The sequence below is a fragment of the Homo sapiens genome, chromosome 1, assembly GCF_000001405.40.
Source record: "Homo sapiens chromosome 1, GRCh38.p14 Primary Assembly".
Lineage (NCBI taxonomy): Eukaryota > Metazoa > Chordata > Mammalia > Primates > Hominidae > Homo > Homo sapiens.
In genome coordinates, this window is record NC_000001.11 from 246,836,434 (window position 1) to 246,859,229 (window position 22,796).

Genomic DNA, 22,796 nt, shown 5'->3' on the forward strand with positions numbered 1-22,796 from the left:
TGGGAATATCTCAAATGATGAAACATAGTTACCATATGGCTCAGCAATTCAATGCTGAGGTATATAACCAAGAGAAATGAAAACATGCCCACACAAAAACTTAGCAGTCATTAATAATAGGCAAAATGCAGAACCAACTGAAGTGTCCTTCCACTGATGAACAAAACTTTGTGTATCCACAAAATAGAATACTGAATATTCACCAGCCATAGAGAATGACGTTTTAATATATGCTGCAACATGGGTGGACCTTGAAAACACGCTGTGTGAAAGAAGCCAGTCACAAAAGACTATATATGATTCCACTCACAGGAAACTTTTGCCCAGGAAGGGAAATCTGCAGAGCACATTAGTGGTTGCTTAGGGATGGGAAGTAGGGTAACTAAAAGGTGCAGAAATTCTTAGGTGATGAAATGTTCTGAAATTGACTGTGGTGATTGTTGCACATATTTAAAACCATTGAATTGTATACTTTGAATTGTATTACCTCAAAGTTGTTTAAAAGAGATTATGGTGAAAAAGCAGCTAAAATAGTTGTCAGGCACTGTGCTCTGCAATAGACATATTTCCTCTGTTACAATAGCAATCTTGTGAAGTGTCAAGAGCCCATTTTACAGATAAACTGAGGCCCAGAGAATACACAGTCTGAGAATATATTGCTTTATTTTTATTTTTGAGACAGAGTCTCACTCTGTCGCCCAGGCTTGGTTCACTGCAGCCTCTGCCTCCTGGATTAAAGCAATTCTCGTGTCTCAGCCTCCCAAGTAGCTGGGACTACAAGCGTGCGTGACCATACCTGGCTAATTTTTGTATTTTTAGTAGAGATGGGGTTTCACCATGTTGGCCAGGCTGGTCTTGAACTCAGCCTCCCAAAGTGCTGGGATTACAGGTGTGAGCCACTGTACCCAGCAATATATTGCTTCTTATCATGAAAGTGCCATAAAGTAGGTTCTCTGATCCCACAATGAACATAAGCACTAGATATGGAGTTAGAAAATTAGGCAGTGTCCAGATCACCTAGGCCCTGTAAACTGCAAAACTTTATTTTTAATAAACTGAAAGGTTTTGAGCAGAGAGCTCCATGATACTAGTATTTTTCTCTTGCTGCTAGGTAAAGAATGGATTGGGGGTGGCGAGTTCATGTAGGAGGTACTGCAGTTGTCTAGGCAGGATGATCTGTAACTGTCTACAGTGGTCCCCCCTTGTCTGCAGTTTCACTTTCTGTGGTTTGTTACCAGCAGTCAACCAGAATATGAAAATACAAAATGGAAAATTCCAGAAATAAACAACTTGTGTTTTAAATTGTGCCACCAGTCTGAGAAGCGTGTGAAAATCTCACGCCATCCCACTGTCCTGCCTGGACGTGAATCATCCTTATCTAGCATATCCATGTAGAGCCGCTTAGGAACCATCTTGGTTACCAGATGAGCATGGTGGCACTGCACTGCTTGTGCCCTTATGTGACTTAATCATGCCCCGAAGTACGAGAGTCTGTGACTCATTTATACAGTATCATAGGTATGTACGTACAAGAAAACATGTAGTGTATATACAGGGTTAGGTTCTACCTGTGGTTTCAGGAATTCACTGGGGGCCTTAGAACATAGCCCCTGTGGGTACAGAGCAAGCACTCACTGTACCTTCAAGCTATCTCCCGAATCCATCCTTCTTACTCCTTGCTTAGACTATTCTAGTCTGGCAACTTTGGTGGTGAACTTGAATAAAATGCAATCTTTTTGTAAAGGGAACCTAAAGGTTCTGTAAATACATGACTGTTTTAGTGCCTAACCCTACAAATCCTTATTTGCAGTTACTCATCCTGGCAATATCAGAGGCCAGTGAAAACGACCGCAGGAATAACCATTTGCATTGTTGTTGAAGGTCTGGTTGGGCCAAAGTAGTTAATATACTGGTCACAAATTCATTCTTTGGCATTTTTTGATCAGTTGCCTTAGAAGCCATGCTACTTTAGAAGCCTTAAATAGCAGCTACACTTAAAGTTACCTACTTATACATGCAACTGGAGTTACATAATTACATAGCTGTGCCCAGCTGTTGAAATACTTTCCACAATATAGATGAATACAGAGGCACAGGACAGACAGAACTGATACCAACTGAAGATGTACAAAGTAATATTGATAATGGTAAAAGCAGCAAGTTGTAGAAGTGGGCGGGGCGGGGCGGGGGGAAGACCTCATATAAGGTCAATCCATTGTAGCCCATTCAGGACCAGGTCTTTGCATGTTGTTCTGTCAAGCAAGTCTTGATCGACCTTTGACAAAGCCTTTATAGTCCTCTCAAATGCTTCTATCTACATCTAGGAAGCCTTCAAGATCTATCCAGGCAGAATTAACTATACTTGATCTGAGTATATTGTTTCCCTTACTACTATGATACTAAGTATCTGAGTATTGTTTCCCTTACTACGATACTAAGTATCTTTCTGAGTACATTGTTTACCTTACTACTGATACTAAGTATCTTTCTGAGTATATCATTTACCTTACTATGATACTAAGTATCTCTCTGAGTACATTGTTTACCTTACTACTATGATACTAAGCACCTTAGTTTAACCAATGCTTTGATCATCAGATACATGGTTGCTACAAGGTCCGAGAATATCATTCATGCGCTATCCTAAAATGTTGTAGCAACACATTTTAATGAGCAGTGTTTTTATTCAAGCTATATAAAGACATTTATACGTAAGTACATACATTCATTTAAAATATATGTAAAGTTCATTTAGAACAGGCAATTTGTTTGCTTATGATCTACATTCACGGAGGGGGGAAAAAAAGTACACTTATTAAAAACAGGTACCACACATCTATATTCACCAAATTGCGTTGGTTTAAAAAAGTATTAACTTGACATACGTTGCATCCATGTTTATTGTGCTACTTGCGCAAAGGAATTGTTTACTGAATTATGTTTAGCTCTTTATTCATTTAACAAGTTCATTTAAATAAGTTCAATATTCCATAAATGACAAGCAGCTTAAATACAAGTTTGATAACTATCATTAAAAAAGTAATAAAATCAAAGTCAGTGAAATTTTCAACAAGGCAGCGTAACATCCATCACTAACCTGACTAAAAGGCCGCACTCGCACTGCTTTCACACTGTCAACACTTTGCGTAGGCATTTTCACCAATTTCTCATTATCTGTATTATTTGGTAGAAAAATAAATGCAGAAAGCACACTGCATATGCTTCACATTAAAATATTAAAAGCCCACGAAAGCAGTTCGTTTCTAGATAATCAATTATTAATAGTCCATTCATTACACACTATCGATTACCTGTTATAAATTATTTTACAACACTTATTTATTGATGAGTGTTAGAGCCTACATCAAGTACCATTGCTTAATTGCACACAGTTGTACTGTAGAGAACAGGGCGTGTGTTGTTTTTCTCCTTTTCTACATCTACTCACTCTCTCCCAACCTCAATAATCTGTGCCTGAGGTCCTGTGAGAATTTGCCAGTTTTAAAACCTGAATATTAAGGGATTTCTGTGGTTCAATAGCAAGCTCCTTCACAGCAATATTATAAAAATTTGTTCAGACATCTCATCCTATCAATATTAGGCACATACAAGATGCACTCAATATCCATAAACAGATTTATTTTACATTTCCCTTTGTCAAACCCTTTGATAAGGTTGCAAGTGAGCAGTGAACCGGTCAATCTAACCTGGATTAGTCTTTGACTAATTAAGACTTTAAAGAGCCTTTAAGCTTGCCGAATAAGAGATGCCAACATTATAGTTAACCAATACTTGGATTATTCATTTGAGGTAGATTACACAAAATTTGTGAAACTACAAAGATGGCAAAATGACATGCCCATAATTCAATTTTAACATAGTAACAGCCAAAAACAAAAAAATACATTTTCTGATTAGAAATCTGAATCACAGAATCAAAGTGCATAAATTATAAAATAGTAACTGTAAAAAGAAATATCAATACTTCAATCATCCCCATTTTAAGACTGGTCTAGTATTTTAATTATAGAGAAAATGAGACCAATGAGCATATAAAACTATTTAAACAGATATCCCCTCCCTTTCAAAAATCCAAGACACAAACGACTGTGAAGTATACATTTTATTTAACATTCCATTAATAAGCCATATTTACATATATAAATGTATGAAGTCTTAATATAAAATAGAAAAATTGCCTGGACTGAAACAATCACTCCATATGGAGTTACTTTACTTATTGAAGACCTTCTGTTTACATAAAAATTTACAATAATTTATATAAATTATTTTCTTCCAAACTAGATATTTAATAATCCACACTATTCTGATGACTTTACAAATAGGTGTACATTAAAATCTTCCCAAGAAATTACAGCATTTTTCTGCGTAAAATTTGCTTTGGATAGGAAGACAGTTTCTTTCTGTTCCTTCCAAGACCTGTTCCTGTCACTTCTGTAGTTTTTCTTGGTTTGCTCTTGACTCCGTCAGCTGGGCTAGCCAAGGGGGAAATCAGCCGAATTTCTATGGGAGGAGGTGACCAAGCACTTTCTTTTTCTGTGTTTCTGAAAAAAAAAGATATGATCAAGTAAGAATAAACACATTATGCTATAAAATAAAATTGGCTTCCCAACATGTTGAGAAAAACCTTAGGGACTGCTTAGTGCTTTCATTTTATAAAAGATGTAATGGTTTCAAGGGAACTGAAGTGAAGCTTTAAGTCATATAAGCTAATCAGAAGCAGAGTTCAGGTTTCATTAAGGGGAATTTTTTCATTTTCGATCAGAATATTTACAAACAATTATTCAATTACTGAATTTTCCTCTAAATGTTTCAAATGTATGAAAAAATACTGCTGGATTACAAGGACGGGCCGAGTACCAGTTGTCAGCCCAGGGGATGACAGCCCCGCAGGCCCATGTGGCATGTCAGAAATGTCAATGATCAAACACAGCAATTAGCAAAGATGCACAGAATTTCACAAACTTGAGTTTCTCACATAGATACGCCAGTTTATATGTAAACAGTGGTATTAGCCATAGTGTCTTAAATAAAATGCATTCACGTGTGCTTTTATTGAATTCAACCATGCCTACTAAGCACAGCATAAACAAGATACTGTGTAACAAATACATCTGAAATGGAGTGATCTTCCCATGCATGCAGTTTTAGTGCTTTCTGTAAAATAATTGCAGGATTTTAAAGTGTATAATTGTTTTTTACTAATAGTTACCTAACTTTCCTGACAAAGAGGTAAACCATCCCACTTCCCTTTCCTACTTTTTCTGCAAAAACCAGAAATATCCATTGGGAACTAAACTGCCCCCACCCTACCATCCTCCTTTTATTATTTTATTTTTATTTATCTATTTTTTTGAGACAGAGTCTCAGTCTGTCACCCAGGCTGGAGTGCAGTGGCGTGATCTTGGCTCACTGCAACCTCCGCCTCCTGGGTTCAAGTGATTCTGCCTCAGCCTCCAGAGTAGCTGGGACTACAGGCACCCACCACCACGCCCAGCTAATTTTTTTTTTTTTTTTTTTCAGTAGAGACAGGGTTTCACCATCTTGGCCAGGCTGGTCTTGAACTCCTGACTCGTGATCCACCCACCTCGGCCTCCCAAAGTGCTCGGATTACAGGCGTGAGCCACCACGCCCGACCTCCCATGTTCCTTTTAAAAGGACTGGGCTTTCATGCTATTAATATATAAAGAAATCCACCTTCAGCAGTGAAATCTAACAATGCCAGGGAGCCAGTGCTTGTAAATGCCCGATAATCTTTTCTGATGAGCTTAATTTCCTTTTCGTAAAATTAAGGGTCTTCTCAAATCTAATTTTGAGAAAAAAATGGATAAAAATTACAGAACAAGGCTGGGTGCAGTGGCTCACACCTGTCATCCAAGCACTATGGGAGGCCAAGGCAGGCGGATCACTTGAGACCAGGAGTTTGAGACCAGCCTGGCCAACATGATAAAATGCCGTCTCTACTAAAAATACAAAAATTAGCCAGGTGTGGTGGTGGGCACCTGTAGTCCCAGCTACTTGGGAGGCTGAGGCATGAGAATCACCTGAACCTGGGAGGCAGAGGTTGCAGTGAGCCGAAATCACACCACTGCACTCCAGCCTTGGTGACAGACCGAGACTCTGTCTCAAAAAAAATAAATAAAAATAAAATAAAATAATAAAAGGAGGATAGTAGGGTGGGGACAGAGCGAGACTGTCTCAATCAATCAATCAATCAAGAACAGAACAGAAAGTCATACTTGCTTGCTTGTTTTGTTTTTGACGTCCTGATTCGTTTCGCTTTTGGCTTTCCCAGAGTTTCTACTGATTGTGCATCATCTTTCTATGGGTTAAACATTTTAAAAGGTTAAGTATTAAACACGAATCCAATTTTAAAACTTCTATCCTGAGACAAGGAATACTAGAGCCAAACACTGATGAATTCAAACTCGCCAAATGCAAAATTGACTCCTTTTCTCATACCTTTTAGTAGAAACCTTAGTTATGCAGGCCTGTTCTTTATTCCTCATTCCTACAATTCAACTAATCTCCAAGTTATCATCAGTTTTATTTTTGAATGTTTCCACTGTCTACTGCCCTTCTGTACCCACTCCCTTTGTCCAGATCCAGGCTCTCACTTTCTAAGAAGTAGACAACCAGAGACTATTGTTTCCTACCCACATTTCATCTTTCATAGAGACTACCTGTAATACACACATGGCTATTCACAATGAACACTCCTCATCTGCCTGCCATTGCCATGCTCTGAGCCTTTGCGTCTGCCATTTACTCTGTTGGGAGGAATGCCTGTCTCCTCTAACCTCGGTCTATAAAGTATTTGAAGTAATTGTTTTCATCTCTTCAATGAAACTGTGTATCTCAGTTGAACTGTAGGTGCCTGACAGACAAGGAATTTGCCTGAATTATTCTTGTGTAATTTGCCCTTGCAGAGTAGCAGACTCATGGCAGATAATTCAATAAATGCTTATGAATTAACATTTATAAACTTAAGGGACTCGCACTCAATCCCTCAACTATTTCTTTAAAAAACACCCAGGTAATTCTGATGGACACTAGAATTTAAAAACCCTTCCACAAACAGGTAATTTAAACTGTAACTGCTGGTAAAATATGATCAGTAGCATACCACAGATGTGTCTTAAAGGTAGGAGGCCTCCAAAGGGGTGGATACGACCATTTTTGGCTTTTGGTATGCATGACTGTTATCTTTAAGACATTTATTTAAATAATAAACAAAATTTAAAATCATTAAAATTTAAATAAAATAATTTTATTAAAACATTTGTAAAAAAAAAAAGTATGTTTTAACAAACATACAAATAAAATCATGCATTTCTTACCAGTTCATCTTCAAGCTTGTTCTTATTGGATGTGTTTTTTTGTCTGCTCCTTAAAGCAGGAGGTGAGATGACAAACTGAGAAGATAAATCCGAAACTAATTCTTTCAGCTGTGCAGGAACCTCTATTTTTTTAGCTAAAAAAAGTTGAAAAAACTGTATCTGTATCTTTATATATGTGTGTATATATATAAACACAATAAAAACCTGGAACAAATTATGTGTTTTAGAAAGATGCAAACGTCCCCAAACCTGGAAACCATTAGTATTGCAACCTAAGTATCCATGTTGGCAGAGAAACGACAGAAAAATCCCAGCATCATTTGGGTAAGCCAAATGTGTAGGACGATTGAATGCTTCAAACTAAAAAGTGCTACAATATAAAGACAGGCCATGAAAGCAGGTACAGAACTGTTTAGTCTATTTCTTTTAATCCGTACTGCTCCTCAAGCATTCTGGGGAGGGAAAGCATTAATCCTATATGTAACCTGAGCTAGTCTGTGCCATAACTACTGCTATTGCAGAGACGTTATTTACAAAGTAGGTTTTTTATTTTCAAAAAAGAGAAAATCTTTCTAGCCACCTCATTTTGAACTACTTGTTCCAGCCAAAGGAACAGAAAAGTTCATCTCCACAAAAGGAGAAAGTGCCAGGTGCAGTGGCTCACAATTGTAATTCCAGCACTTTGGGAGGCTGAGGTAGGAGGACGGCTTAAGGCCAGGAGTTCAAGACTAGCCTGATCAACAAAGTGAGAGCCCTGTCTCTACAAAAAATTTTTAAAAGATTAGCCAATGTGGTGGTGCACGCCTGTGGTGTCAGCTACGTGGGAGGCTGAGGCAGGAGGATCACCTGAGCCTGGGAAGCTGAGGCTACAGTGAGCCATGATTGTGCCACTGCACTCCAGCCTGGGTAACAGAGTGAAAAGCTAACAGGAAGATATTCCATAGAAAAATAAAAATGGTTTAAACAACAATTGGTTTAAAATAAGGAATTAAAAGCATTTACCACACAGACTTTTTTTTTTTTTTTTAACTATAGGGCCCCCATATTAAAAGCAATTATCAATATAATTACAGACGAGCACAGTTCAGTTTAACCAGTCTGCCGGAGTAAATCCCAGCTTCTGGACTTACTGTGAGACCAGAATCAAGTAACTTAAACCTGTCTGTGCATCAGTTTCTATAAAATAGGGTTAATAGTAGCATCTATCTCAAAGTTGTTCTGAGGATGAAAGAAGCAGAACAATGTGTGGCAGGGTAGGTGGTAAGTGCTCTACAGATGTTTGCATTTGTTATTTCAAGAATATCATTTACAAACCCTTGAAATAAAATCACAGTTCATGTTACTTCAGCTACTGGGATAGTCAAGAGTTCTATCAAATTCTGCTTTTCGAGCATGATTCTTTAAAAAAATGTTTTTTGTGGGTACACAGTAGGTGTATATATAAAAATGTTTTTTGTGGGTACACAGTAGGTGTATATATAAAAATGTTTTCTGTGGGTACACAGTAGGTGTATATATAAAAATGTTTTTTGTGGGTACACAGTAGGTGTATATATAAGCATATGATTCTTAAAAAAAAGAAAAATAGAGTTGATATCAGATATCAGAAATATATAATCTCTGCTCCCAGCTTGTAAATGGCAGAAATGGCAATGGCTAGGTCTACTGGTGGTCTCTCTCTTGGCTTCAAGAAACAGATGAACAAAAGTATTTCTACGAAAATTATACATTCTATAACTCTCTTCTAGGCTACCTGAAAAAACGATTTATTTCACTTTTCGTAATCTTCACCTAAGCTTTCCTACTCCATTTCAAATATATAAGGAAATACAAAAATATACTATCACATGCAAAAATAGCCTCCACCATTTTTTCCATGTGCTTCTATTATAGCACAGATGAGACTTTCTTGAGTGTATGTCAATTCTTTACCCATCTCTTGTTTTGAGGATTAAGGAGTTCAAAAGGCCTAGGTTCAAACCCAACTGTGTCCTAGCAAATGACTCTGGAAATTCAAAGAGAGCTCTGATTTGCAGCATTTGCTGATTTCTAAGGTATAAATGTGCCTCCTGTGGCCAATGCAAACCATGGCTGGGTTACAAGTTCTTGGATATTTAACAATTGGCTCTTACCAGCCAGTAGTAGCAGTAGTAGCTCTAGAACAACACATCTTACTTATTCCCTGGGTGATGTGAGTGCACAGTCTCAATGAACTTCAGTTTCCTCAATGAGGACAGAAGGAAGTAAAAGTACCTACACTTTACTGGGTTGAAGTGGGAATCAAACGATATATGAATGTCATGTATCTAGTATGGCCTTAGGTATATAGCAGGCCCTTCTTAATATCTGCTGTATGAAATGTGAAGTTTCATATTCATTTAGTAAAACACAAAATTCTAAGATAATTTCTTCGCTATGTTTCAATAAAATAAAGGACCACCTCTAGCCTTCCAATCATATAGTATACCTATACCCAGTCTTCTCGGCACCTGCATCCCTATGTAAAAACGAAGTTTAGAATATAAATAGGCACAAGGGACAGAAAGTATGGTAACAGTATAAAGGGCAGAGGAAGACAGGAAGCTATGTCCTAGAGTGGTCATTGCTTTGTTAAAGGAGTGAATACTCATAAGAACCCCTGTAAGGTATGCACTACCACATTCATTCTAGGAGGAGGAAACAAGGCTCATAAAGGTTAAATGATTTTCTGCCCAGCTAGTAAGTGGCAGAAATGAGAGATCTCAATCCCAAGTTTCTTATCCCTTCCAATCCCATCATCTCATTCTAGCAGGTGCCTATTTTTAATATTAAAAAATCTGAAAGCAATTCAAATACCCAACAGAAGAGGGTTTAAACAATCTGTGGCACATTTGTGAGATGAAATGCCAATATGAAAAAAAAAGAAATATTACGTTTAAGATTTTGAAATATATATACATATACATATATATATTTTTTGGGGGGATGGGGGTGGGGAGGTGACAGGATCTCAATCTGTCACCTGGGCTGGAGCACAGTGGTGTGATGGCTCACTGCAACCTCAACCTCCCGGGCTCAAGCCATCCTCACACCTCAGCCTCCCAAGTAGCTGGGACTACAGGTGCAGCCACCACATGCCCAAATCATTAAAAATTTTTCTTTTGTAGAGATGGGGTCCCACTAAGTTGCCCAGGCTGGTTGGATTTTGAAGAATATTTAAGATTAACTGAAGGCTGGGCACAGTGGCTCATGCCTATAATCCCAGCACTTTGGGAGGCCAAGGCGGGTGGATTATCTGAGGTCAGGCGTTTGAGACTAGCTTGGCCAACATGGCGAAACCCTGTCTCTACTAAAAATACAAAAAAATGACCCAGGCGTGGTGGCAAGCACCTGTAATCCCAGCTACTGGGGAGGCTGAGGCAGGAGAATTGTTTGAACTCAGGAGGCGGAGGTTGCAGTGAGCCAAGATCACACCATTGCACTCCAGCCTGGGTAACAACAGCCAAACTCCATCTCAAAAAAAAAAAACAAACAAAAAAAAAACTGAAAATGCTCATGACATAAGTAGGGGGACAAAAGCAGAATATATGCACGTACATAAACTGCAGGTTTTTAAATACCAACCATACATATGTATCTGGAACGATATACAGGAAAACGTGAATGGTGATTCTTTCGATGGCTGGATTATATACTTCTATTTTAGAGTTTTCAGTAAGTAGGCATGTATTGTTTTTGTTTTGAGACGTGGTCTTGCTCTGTTGCCCAGGCTGGAGTGCAGGGGCACACGATCATGGCTCACTGCAGCCTCAAACTCTCAGGCTCAAGTGATCCTCCTGCCTCAGCCTCCCAAGTAGCTGGGACCACAAGCCTATGCCACCAGGTCTGGCTAATTTTTGTACTTTTTGTAGAGATGGGGTTTTTTTGGCCATGTTGTTGCAGGTATTTTTAGTTTAACAGAAAAAAGTTAAAATTAGTAGGTACAGAAATGAAAAATAGGTAAAGATGACAAAAATCAGAATTACTGAGATGTTTGCTAAGCTCTAACAAAATAACTCTCACTTTTGGTGGTTACTATATTCCTCCAGGTCCTGAGGAGTGTATAAGTTATGTGAATGACTTCCTGCCACTCCCTGCCAATAAAATGTTTTTCATTTTAACTTTTTAATAAAACCTTAATAAAATGAACTTAAAAAAAGTTGGCTAAAATATCACACATTCTGTCATTTCATTCTCCTCCATGCAAAACATAGGTCTAACCACACTTTTCTAACACTGTGAAGAAATTAAGTTATACTACCAAAATCGAAGATCCAATTAAAAATTTTCTGAGTGACGAGGGGAGAGGAGGATCCCCTATAGCTACAAATCATTTTTAGGACAAATGATCAATTGTTATGGGGAGAGTCATTCTCCTGGGCTCAAACTGTATCAGTACAACAAGTCATCTACTTTATTTATTATTATTATTATTTGGCCCCCCGGGCTGGAATACAGTGGCACAATCTTGGATCACTGCAAGCTCTGCCTCCCAGGTTCACACCATTCTCCTGCCTCAGTCTCCCGAGTAGCTGGGACTACAGGCGCCCGCCACCACGCCCGGATAATTTCTTTGTATTTTTTTTAGTAGTGTTAGCCAGGATGGTCTCGATCTCCTGATCTCGTGATCCACCCGCCTTGGCCTCCCAAAGTGCTGGGATTACAGGCGTGAGCCACCGTGACCGGCCAAGTCATCTACTTTATTTATAAGGTCCTGAACTGCTTTGCTGAAATTCAAATATTAAACTGTAACTTAAATAGTCAACTACATGGCTGGGTGTGGTGGCTCACGCCTGTAATCCCAACACTTTGGGAGGCTGGGGCGGGTGGATCACTTGAGGTCAGGAGTTCAAGATCAGCCTGGCCAACATGGCGAAATGCTGTCTCTACAAATACAAAAAATTAGCCAGGCCTGTAATCCCAGCTACTAGGGAGGCTGAGGTAGGAGAATCCCTTGAACCCAGGGGGCACATGTTGCAGTGAGCCGAGATCATGCCATTGTGCTCCAGCCTGGGCGACAGAGTGAGACTCTACCTCAAACAAACAACACAAACCCCCTACATTTTGTTTACCTAACCATTAACACTTTTACAGAGAGTTACTCTGATGGGATCTATTCAGCCACACCAGTGTCTTAACTTTTTAGACATGTTTAAAGCACCCCCTATTAAAATTTTATTACTGCAGATATATTGTATATCTGTTTGTATTCTTAATGCATATATGTGCTCCCTTTGGGGAGAGATCACCCCTGTTGAGAAGCTCTGACCTACACCAACCAAATACAGTCCTTAGCTCGTGACAATGAAGGATGGCCTCACTGAAGATGAGGGCATGTAGATGCGCCAGTTTGTGGGCAATAGTGAATATGGATTGAAATAATTTCTGTATCTTAGTAAAAAGCTACTGGTGTTTCCCTTCAAAACAATTTCGGGTTGTGGATATCACTGGGGTGTGAGCCAAATGCAGCAGTACATGGGAGATTAAAAATATTGACTATTTTGGAAGAAACTTAATTAAAAGTCACTTATAATTTATAAAACTCACAGAAGAGAAATTACACTATTCTAAAAAATAAATCTGTTACGTGAGTTACAGGATTTAAGTCATGTTAACCATACTGAATAACTGAACTCAAACTTTGAAACATGAAACCTTTAAACTTTACTACTAAAAGATCAATTTTGGTTTGAGGGGGGAAGGGGAAAAATTCCCTATAAAACCATTTTTAGGACAAATAACCAAATTTTAAGCTGAAGAGTGACTGAGATGAAAAACTGTTTTGCAGAGAAAGAAAAGTACCTTTTGCTTTCCTTGGAACTTCTGACGCTGGAGAAAATAAAGGCTCATTGTTTGGTTCAGAAAGGTCCGGCAACAAGATGGCCTTGCTAGACCGAGTCCTGCTGCTGCGGGATGATTTAGTGAAGGAAGCTGTGGCGAGCAATCTTTCTTCCTGCTCATTTGTTTCTTTATGTGTCATTTCATCTGTGCGTTCTTCTGATACTGAGTGCAATGAACGTTTTTGGCTTTGACTTTCAGTCTTTTTTGTAAGTTTTTTCTTAGAGCTCATCACCATCGAAAGTTCCTCGTTTGGCACTAAAATGGATTTTCCTAAAGCTGGTTTTCCAACATCAACATTTTCACTTTTAGCTGGGGTATTTCTTGTAGATCTCCTTCTAATGCTGGGAGCTTCTTTCTTCTTGGGGCTTCTCTCTTCCTTAACAGCCTTAGATCCTACATCTTCAGATGGATTGATTTTTCTTGGTCTACCACGTTTTCTAGGTATGGCAGACATATCAAATTCTGCTTGAACAGTCAACTGAGATGACTCAAGGTTGGAGTCTTCTCTCACATCTGATGGACTAACTTCTCTCCCTCTGACCCTTCTAACATGTTTAATACGCAGCTGCTTGTCACTGGATTTATCATCTTGCTTATTTCCTGTATTTTCAGAAGCATCTAAATTAGTACTTCTCAATTTTCTGATCATTCTGCTAGGACTTGTTACCGTACTAACTTTTAGATCATTTATAATTTCAACACTTTCCTGATTTTCTACAGATCTTTTAATTCTTCTAGGAGTCCTTTTTGTAACAGATGAAACCTTAACTTCTTTTTTAGTAGTTTCTTCAACTGCTGGTTCCAACAGCTGAGATGATTTTAATCTTTTTGATTCCCTACCTGTAGTGATCTGTAATTCTTGTTCCACAGAACTGGTGTTTTCTAGTATGTCCTGATTAACTTCTTTCTTTCTCCTTCCTCTCCTAGGCGTAACAGAATTTTGAGGTATTTGCTGGTTCTGAGATAGTCCTCTGACATCAGAATAGATGTTTTCAGAAGCTTCAGAAATTTCTTTTGCCTTCCTAGTTTTCTTCCTGACTGACTGCCCTGGCATCTTAGGAGTAGCAACATCTGCTGATGCTTCCTGTTGTGCTGATTTGACATTCACGTTTTGGATACGTTGACCTCTCGTACGAGTTTTGGAGGAAACCACGTCATCAACCTGGCTGACATTCATAGTCATTGTGCTTGTTTCCTGAGCAGTCTTAAATGCAGATTTGACCAATTTAGTGGGACACATTATGTTTTGGCTCACTAAAGGTATTGTTTCATGAATGGACTGTTCCATTGTATCTGAAGTAATTTCTTTACTTCTTGTGTCTTTAATTACATCTAGTAAATTTTCTGCAATTGCTACTTTAATAGGTTCAGGCACATATGGTAAAGTGTCTACTTTTTGGGACTTTTGGTCACTAGTTACGGCAGATGGCAAATTTGCAATTTGTCCATGATTATCATTTTCCCCACTGCATACAAGTTTTTCTTCAGTTGCTGTGTTAGCTGCTTTAGGTAACACATCAGATGATGCAAAATCACCTGGCTCAACTTCTCCTTCTTCACCTTCCAATATCAAGGTAAAGTTGCTTTGAGCCACAAAAAGTTCCCCATCTACTTCAGCAATGTCACATTCAGCAGTGTCTTTGTTATCAGCTAAGTCACAAAACTGTTGGTCAATAGTATCAAAATTGTACTGAAGCTTAAGTGTTCCAGAGGGATATAACTCATTAAATGAAAGATTCCTAGCCTCTTCTCCTGAATCTTGAGCTTCAAGCTTTTCTTGTTCAATCACCTAAATGAATTAAAGATAAGAGACTGGTTAAAGAATTTTAATACATGTTTTAACTTGAAGCACACAGGTTTTTGATGACCCTTGGCTGTGTGCCTTTTAAAACATAAATTATATTTAATATGGCATATACTTATGGGTTTACTTTACAAAATTATCCCTTTAAGCAATCAGACTTTCTCATTCAGTCAAAATAACTACATTTTGAGATTATGACTGAAATTTAACTAGAAATTCTACATTTCCCTAGCTAAAAAGACAGTCAACAAAAGCTTGAAAATTATGATGCTAACAGTTCTGAAAACATTTAAGGACTTATTCTATTCTCACCCAAGAAAAAAAATTAACCGGAAAAAACAGAAACAACCCCCAAACTGTGTTTTAATGGTATTCCCCAAATTACCTAACTATCCACACTTTTCTAAATAGCACGATCCCCGTAAGGTTGAAGAACAATTCACCTACATAAGCTCCCTTGGGCTAGACTCAATCCTCTTCCCTTTGCTGGGGCTGCATAAACCATGAAATTCCTAAGGCTTTCAAGTTCAGTACCTCTCCTGCAAGGGTTTGGTGGAAGAAGGAATGGTCCTTGCAATTACCTTTTGGTAAGGGAAGGGGAGAAAAAGGAGGAGGTAGAAAGTAACAGAGAGATCTCCTGACCAAGAAGGTAGAACATTACCACCCACCTAGACAATGACATTTTCCCACTCCCCAAACATTCAGTGAGATGACAGATTGGAAATAACCTAGAAATTAGGATTCCCACTTACACCATACCCACAACTCTTATTAGCTTCCCAACTAAAAGAACTGGAACTTTACTCATCTATTTGGCAGTGGGAATACTCATTAAGATGAGTATGGATAACGATGACATTTTTATGAGTTAAGAAACTTCCCAAATCCTAAACAAATTTCTATAAATAATTAGAAGAGTTGGTTTTTTATCCAAATTTCTATAAATAATTAGAAGAGTTGGTTTTTTATCTTAAAATTTATTACATAAAAGTTGCCTGCTGGTAATAAAAGATTTGGTATAATAGAATTTTTTTTTTAAAAAAACTAAGTCTTATTAAGTAGCAAAAAGTTATTTTCAGAGTGTACAGATGTTCAACACCAGCCAGTTGACTATCATTCTCCCACAAGGATGCATGGGGCGGGGGTGTCAATCCTGTGTAACTGTATCCATATATTTTCAAATATATGATCTTATGACTAAAAAAACCTTTCATTTGAACCAGATCAGCAAAAATTAACTTGATAAAACTATGGCTTCTTTAACACTTCCTTTTGGCTTTCATGAAAACCAGTTTATTTATTTATTTATTTTTTCCCTGAGACAGGATTTTGTTATGTTGCCCAGGCTGGTCTCAAACTCTTGGGCTCAAGGATCCTCCCTCCTCAAACTCCCAAGTAGCTGGGACTATGGGCACCCGCCACAGCACCCACCTCCAAGGTTGATTTATTAAAGGATGTGTTTTTATATTCCACAAAAGATTTATACACTTATTTTTTGAACCCATATTTTTATAAATAAGTTTTTATATAGCAGTCAAATAAATGAACGTGTTAGATTTGAACTACTGTGTCTTGAAACAACTAAACCAAAACTGAAAGACTGATAAAGAAGTAAAAAATTAATTTTTTTTACATGAATTTCTTGAGTATCAGGAGGGCTGTCAGAAATTGGAAGCTTTTCTTCTGGTAAGTCAACACTTTCTTTTAGTACACCAACTTCTACTTCATGATCTTCTTTTAAGTTCAGCGCTACTTCCTGGTTAAGCCTGCGCTCAGAGACAATAGGACCTTCAGAGATAGTGAGCGAGGAGTTTCCACCATCACCAAGGACATCAGCCATAGCTGAAAGAAAAATGAGTGAATTTTTTACATTTAAACTGAAAAATAAATCCACACACAAGGAAGCAAACAGAAAGGAAAAGGCTACACTGCACTTGAATAGTGTATTAATAAACTATCACAATGCCAGAAAAGTCTGCAACTTCTTAAACAATACACACCTTTCCACAGAGATAAAACAGAAAAAGGTAAATTTCACATTTAAAAATGATAACTGATAAACGGTATCAGGAAACATTAATATGACGACCAACTGCTTCAAGGAAGTTCAGGTGCTTGTTCCTTATTAATCTGAAACTGTATTCACCAGGTGACTACCAGACAACCAGCTATCCTTGTAGAGTAATTACAGAATTACATGAGGAACATGCAATCTGGGCTTTGATACAACTAGGATAAAGAATGAATCTCTTTTGGCAGAAAGCATTCAAATAGGTACAAATGTACTCTACTACTTTAAAATCCTTTAGTGTTTAACAACAACAAAACATCAATAAAAAAGCACAAAAATAAAAGATGAACTAGGAAAAAATATTTCTACACTTTCAATGGAAAATGGGGCTATTATCCCTAACATGTGGATACTAATAAAACAAAATGAAAAATGTTTTCCTGTTTGGCAAAAAGAGGACGACGAAAAACCACTTTACAGGCTTCTCATCAAATACATAAAAGTAGTATACAAACTTTATTGGATACAACAATAAAATATTAAAAATCTGGCTGGGCGCAGTGGCTCACGCCTGTAATCCTAGCACTTTGGGAGGCCAAGGCAGGTGGATCATGAGGTCAGGAGATCGAGACCACCCTGGCTAACACGGTGAAACCCTGTCTCCACTAAAAATACAAAAAATTAGCCAGGCGTGGTGGCGGGCACCTGTAGTCCCAGCTACTCGGGAGACTGAGGCAGGAGAATAGCGTGAGCCTGGGAGGCGGAGCTTGCAGTGAGCCGAGATTGCACCACTGCACTCTAGCCTGGGTGACAGAGCGAGACTCTGTTTCAAAAAAAAAAAAAAAAAAATCTGTACATACTTCTGGACCCAACAAGTCCATGGTTAGGAATCTACCCGAAAGAAATACTGACATAGAATGTAATGTGCACAAGAATATTCACTGCAGAAACAGCAAAACAAACCCCAAAATGGTGATTGGCCCAAATGTTCAGCAATAAGCAATTAGTTAAGCATGTAACATCTACACTACAAAACACTATTAGAGCTGTTAAAAAGAACAGGATTAATCTATATTCCTGACAGAAAAAATGTCTTAAATATATTACATGAGAAAAGAAAGTTGCTTTTTTGATAATGATCATTTCTAACAGCTAACATTTACTAAACTTCAGGTACCAAGCGCTACACAAAACACTTTACATGCAAGGGGCTTAATCCTGACAACTCTAGGAAATGGGTCTTATTAATATTCCCATTTAAAACTATTAATATTTTACCAACAAAAAAAAATAGAGACACAGCCCTTAAGTGCAGAACTGGGAAGTGCAGAACTGGGTTAGGAACCCACACATTCGGGTTCAGCCCCCTGCACTCTTCAGGCACCGTCTTGTCTCCTCTTCCAACATATCGGGAGAAATGGGCACAGAAAACAAAAATTCAGGAAAGACACTTTAAATGGTTAATTATGGACCCCTAAAATGGGTGATCGGCTTTTTACATGTTAGACAATTCTCTCTGGATTACTCCATAATCATGTATTACCTTAATCATGGGACAAAAACTAGTCTGCTGAAGCTTGCCGTATACCCCATTCATAATGTACCAGGAACAAAGGCATAACAGTTGAGAGCATGGGCTCTAGAGTCAGATAACAACTATGTCATAGTATAGTGCTGTGAGGATTAAATGAGTTAATAGACACAAGATGATCAGACCAATTCTGGGCATAGACATTCAAGGTGTCTGCTTCCCCTGAATCCAACTGTAAGCTCCTTAAGAAAATCCTATCTTCCTCATCTCTGTATAGCCAGGGCCTAACTGAGAATAGGCCTTCACAAAAATGCTCATTGGATTAAAAAAAAAATTCCATATATTTGTTAATTTCCCTGGAGAATATTCAGTCATTTGTGATTATTTTCTAATAATGAAAAGTCAACCTTGGCCTTAAGTTATCACAAACAAACACGAAATAACTCTTCTGAGTCCAAGAAGATCAAACGGCAGGGATGCATTTGGCTGTGGACTAGTAATCTAAGACTTTGAATATTAGAGCCACAGAATGCCTTACAAGCAACCCACTGTCTGACAGCTTATATATCTCCTTAGAATACTTCTACACCAGGAAAGCTGACCAGAGAGAGGAATAACTGAGGAGGAAAAATCTGAATAACACAATAGATTATTTTGTTCTAAGAACAGAAAACTCTTCACTCAAAACACAAAAATGGAATAATCCTGAAGTCAAAATTATTATACATACATTTATTGTCATTTGCTCTAATTGCAGGGGTGTAGGTTTCAACAGATGTTAATCCTTCGTCCAACACTGGTACCTTGGACTTCTGGGTGAAGATTTTCCTTTAGAAAAAGAAATACATACCTTAGTGTGTAAGAAGATCCCATCTGCTTTAACCTGCTTTAGTCCTACCACCTAACCTGTCATTTTGGTGATGTAAACTGAGGTTCAGAGAATTCAATACAACTCAAGCTCATTCTGAACAATAATATAAAATTTAAAAGTGAATTCAGAAACAATGCTGTACTTGTTTTACCCATTTTCTAATGTTTTACTCTTTTGGCAACAATGGCATGGCCTTAAAGTAGAAATGAAATGATTTTAAAATGCCTGTCAGTATACATTATATTTAAGCCAATTTTTAATAATCTGTGGCCAGTCTTCAAATAAGTCTGTCAAGTATTCTGGAATATTTTCTATGAACTCAGTAGAGGCAAGGTTCAATATTTTAATGCTACCTAGAAAAAGTATGATAAATGACTCAGAATAAGAGACCAATGAAACCTGTATTAATCCACATGAAAATAAATCCTGGAATATGATGACAGTGTTCCTTTAATATTCTAATCTGACCTTTCTCAAAACCCAATTAAAGCATGCTAATTTTGAAAATTACAACAAATAGTATTTGAAAGTAAATTCAATAAAAAGGTATTTGAAACATTTATAGATTTTACCATAAAAGTAACAGTGATACATCACCACAAAATATCAAATAAGCTTATATTTTAAAAGGAACTAGTTAGCCAAGATAGTGAATATGCACCCAGGTTCTCACTGGTAACTCTCATGTGATTCCTTCTCATGCTGGTAACTCTCATGTGATTCCTTCTCATGCGACTGCTCTTTGCTTTGCAATTATCCATGAAAGCCATTGCAATAAATAACATTAGTTTTCATTAAAATTCAAAAAACATTACAATGAAAAAATAATTTGGATAATCCTTTCATACTGGCTTCTACTTTTTCCATGCAGGCCTGGCAAAAATTCCAGCTAATCTAGATTTCTCAGGCGTAAAGCATGTGATTTAGTTCAAGGTACAAGGGGTGACTATCATGATACTGAATTGTATAGGTGGTCTGGTAAGTCCCTTTCATTATGTATAAAGTAACGAACCATTTATAATGTTGTAAGTTATATTTTGTGTCGGTTAATTTTACTGAATCACCCTTACTACTACTTGATAACTGAAGCTGTCCCTTTTTTGTATCCTCTACAACGGTGTTATTCAAAAGTGCGGACATGCAATCTGTGTCAGTCTCGCAATGAGACAAGGACCTCTTGCCAGAAGGTGAATCAATTGCTTCACTAATCATACTGATTAGTACAGCTGACTTTCCGTAAAGGAGGCAGTGCACTTATCTATATTCCAAGGCAGGCTGTTTATCTTGTTGCAGAACATAAACTGACACTCTCACCAATCTGCTTGACCATACTTTGAATACGTCATCTGGTAAAGTGTCAATGAAAATTATTTGGGAGTATGTTTCAAATGGTCGTTAAAAAACACAAACTTAGAGTCATGTATTGAACAAATGGAAGGAAATAAAACTGTCTGTCATCTCCCCTGTGCTCTACTGTGTCTACCTACAAGAGTCTTGTGCCTGATCATCCTGAAACCACTGGAAAGCAGAGGGCATGGAGGTATGCACAGCTGTGAGCGAAATCTTGGTCTTCAACAAAAACAGAATCACCAGAGTTCTGCCTCAATTTACCGTGTCTCTGTATATTTCCGAAACTTTATAGTAACTACTAAATGACATATAACTGCACAACTAAACTTCTTTTAAAACAGCCAACATTACCAAAATGGAGATGTTAAAGATCTAAGTGAAATCTAACATGCACAGAATATTTTACTTCTGGTTCATAATTTCATTAAACTTCTTTCTAAAAGTATTTGAATTTCTCTCCATTAACTTACCCTTCATAGACTGATGGTGCACAAAGAGAAGCTTCAGTTCCTTGAACCGGGCTTAAGTGATTCAATTCTGAAAATGCCTCTGCTGCAACTAAGAGATCCTTTGTTTCTGCATCTTCTAAATTGCCTATAAGTCATACAAATAAGAATATTATTTATGCTAAATATTTAGTGATTACTGATAGTCTTGCATTATTACTTTTTAAAAAGTTGTTGGGTCTGCTTTTTTGTTCTTTTAGGTTTGCTGCTGTGTTATCAGACTGCTAACACTTTCTTCTTTTTTTTTTTTTGAGATGGAGTCTTGCTGTGTCGCCCAGGCTGGAGTGCAGTGGCGCTATCTTGGCTCACTGCAAGCTCTGCCTCCCAGGTTCACGCCATTCTCCTGCCTCCGCCCCCCGAGTAGCTGGCACTACAGATGCCCGCCACCATGCCCTGCTGATTTTTTGTATTTTTAGTAGAGACGGGGTTTCACTGTTTTAGCCAGGATGGTCTCGATCTCCTGACCTCGTGATCCACCCACCTGGGCCTCCCAAAGTGCTGGGATTACAGGCATGAGCCACTGCACCCGGCCAACACCTTCTTCTTCTAATTCTCTGAACCTAGCTCAAGAGCCCCCCTTAACCTCTCGCTTTTCACTTTTTGCTGAACAGGCACTAATGCAACTGTTTTATATACATTAACTTACTTAATCCTCAACATTCAAAAAAAGTAGATAAGAAAACTGAAGCCTAAGGTTATACTGCGTATCCCAGCTCATGACGCATACTCAGTAAGTAGCTGAGCTAGGATTCAAATCTAGCTTCACTATAGAGTTTGTGTTGTATGAAACCCCACCCACCACAAACACAATAAAGATTTCTGGCCAGGCACGGAGGCTCATACCTGTAATCCCAGCACTCTGGGAGGCTGAGGCAGGCAGATCACGAGGTCAGGAGTTCGAGACCAGCCTGGCCAACATGGTGAAACCCCGCCTCTAATAATACAAAAATTGGCTGGGCATGGTGGCACGTGCCTGTAATCCCAGCTACTCGGGAGGCTGAGGCAGAGGTTGCGGTGAGCCGAGATCACACCACTGCACTCCAGCCTGGGCAACAAGAGCGAAACTCTGTCTCAAAAAAAAAAAAAAATAAATACAAATTTCTATTTGAGACTGCCTAATATTGTAAGAATAATCAGTGAAGATAATGCTATGAACATTCTTTTAACAGCTACCATTTAAACATGTTAGTAGAACAAGGCACATCAAAAGAGCAATGTAGGCCAGGACCGGTGGCGCATGCCTGTAATCCAGCTACTTGGGAGGCTGAGGCAAGAGAAGAGGTTGCAGGAGCTGAAATAGCCCCACTGTACTCCATCCTGGGCGACAGAGCAAGACTCTGTCTCAAATAAGTAAGGCAGTGTAAATTTCTAGACATATGCTATTTATGGGCATGGTCCTAAAGTTCTTAGAGTAATTAATAATGCCCATGCTTACTAAGTAAAGATATCGTAGTCCAAACTTCAGTGGACTCTCATCTTAAACTACTTAAGATGCAGATTTTT

General features: G+C 38.2%; 1 protein-coding gene across 9 annotated transcripts in view, besides 1 other annotated feature; it reads right to left on the reverse strand.

Moving 5' to 3' along the window:
- Nucleotides 2,460-2,660: a silencer, noted in NCBI's record as "peak824 fragment used in MPRA reporter construct". NCBI's record gives its function as "represses an SCP1 promoter by STARR-seq MPRAs in K562 erythroleukemia cells {active_cell/tissue: K562}" and the evidence as "EXISTENCE:reporter gene assay evidence [ECO:0000049][PMID:32103011]".
- The window catches only part of AHCTF1 (AT-hook containing transcription factor 1), a 92,851-nt gene continuing 72,719 nt past the window's right edge, over nt 2,665-22,796 (reverse strand). For 3 of the 9 annotated variants that reach the window (NM_001323342.2, NM_015446.5, NM_001410950.1), the window contains exons 30-36: nt 21,258-21,381; nt 19,297-19,394; nt 16,658-16,866; nt 13,182-15,009; nt 7,362-7,495; nt 6,261-6,343; nt 2,665-4,565 (exon numbers count right to left, since the gene is read on the reverse strand). In NM_001323342.2, coding sequence (NP_001310271.1) covers nt 4,373-4,565; nt 6,261-6,343; nt 7,362-7,495; nt 13,182-15,009; nt 16,658-16,866; nt 19,297-19,394; nt 21,258-21,381 — 2,669 coding nt within the window. In that variant the 3' untranslated portion in view covers nt 2,665-4,372. Of the gene's footprint in view, nt 4,566-6,260; nt 6,344-7,361; nt 7,496-13,181; nt 15,010-15,471; nt 15,606-16,657; nt 16,867-19,296; nt 19,395-21,257; nt 21,382-22,796 lie in introns of those variants that run through there. The other 6 variants (NM_001323343.2, XM_011544156.3, NR_136586.2 and 3 more) reach the window with 5 other exon arrangements.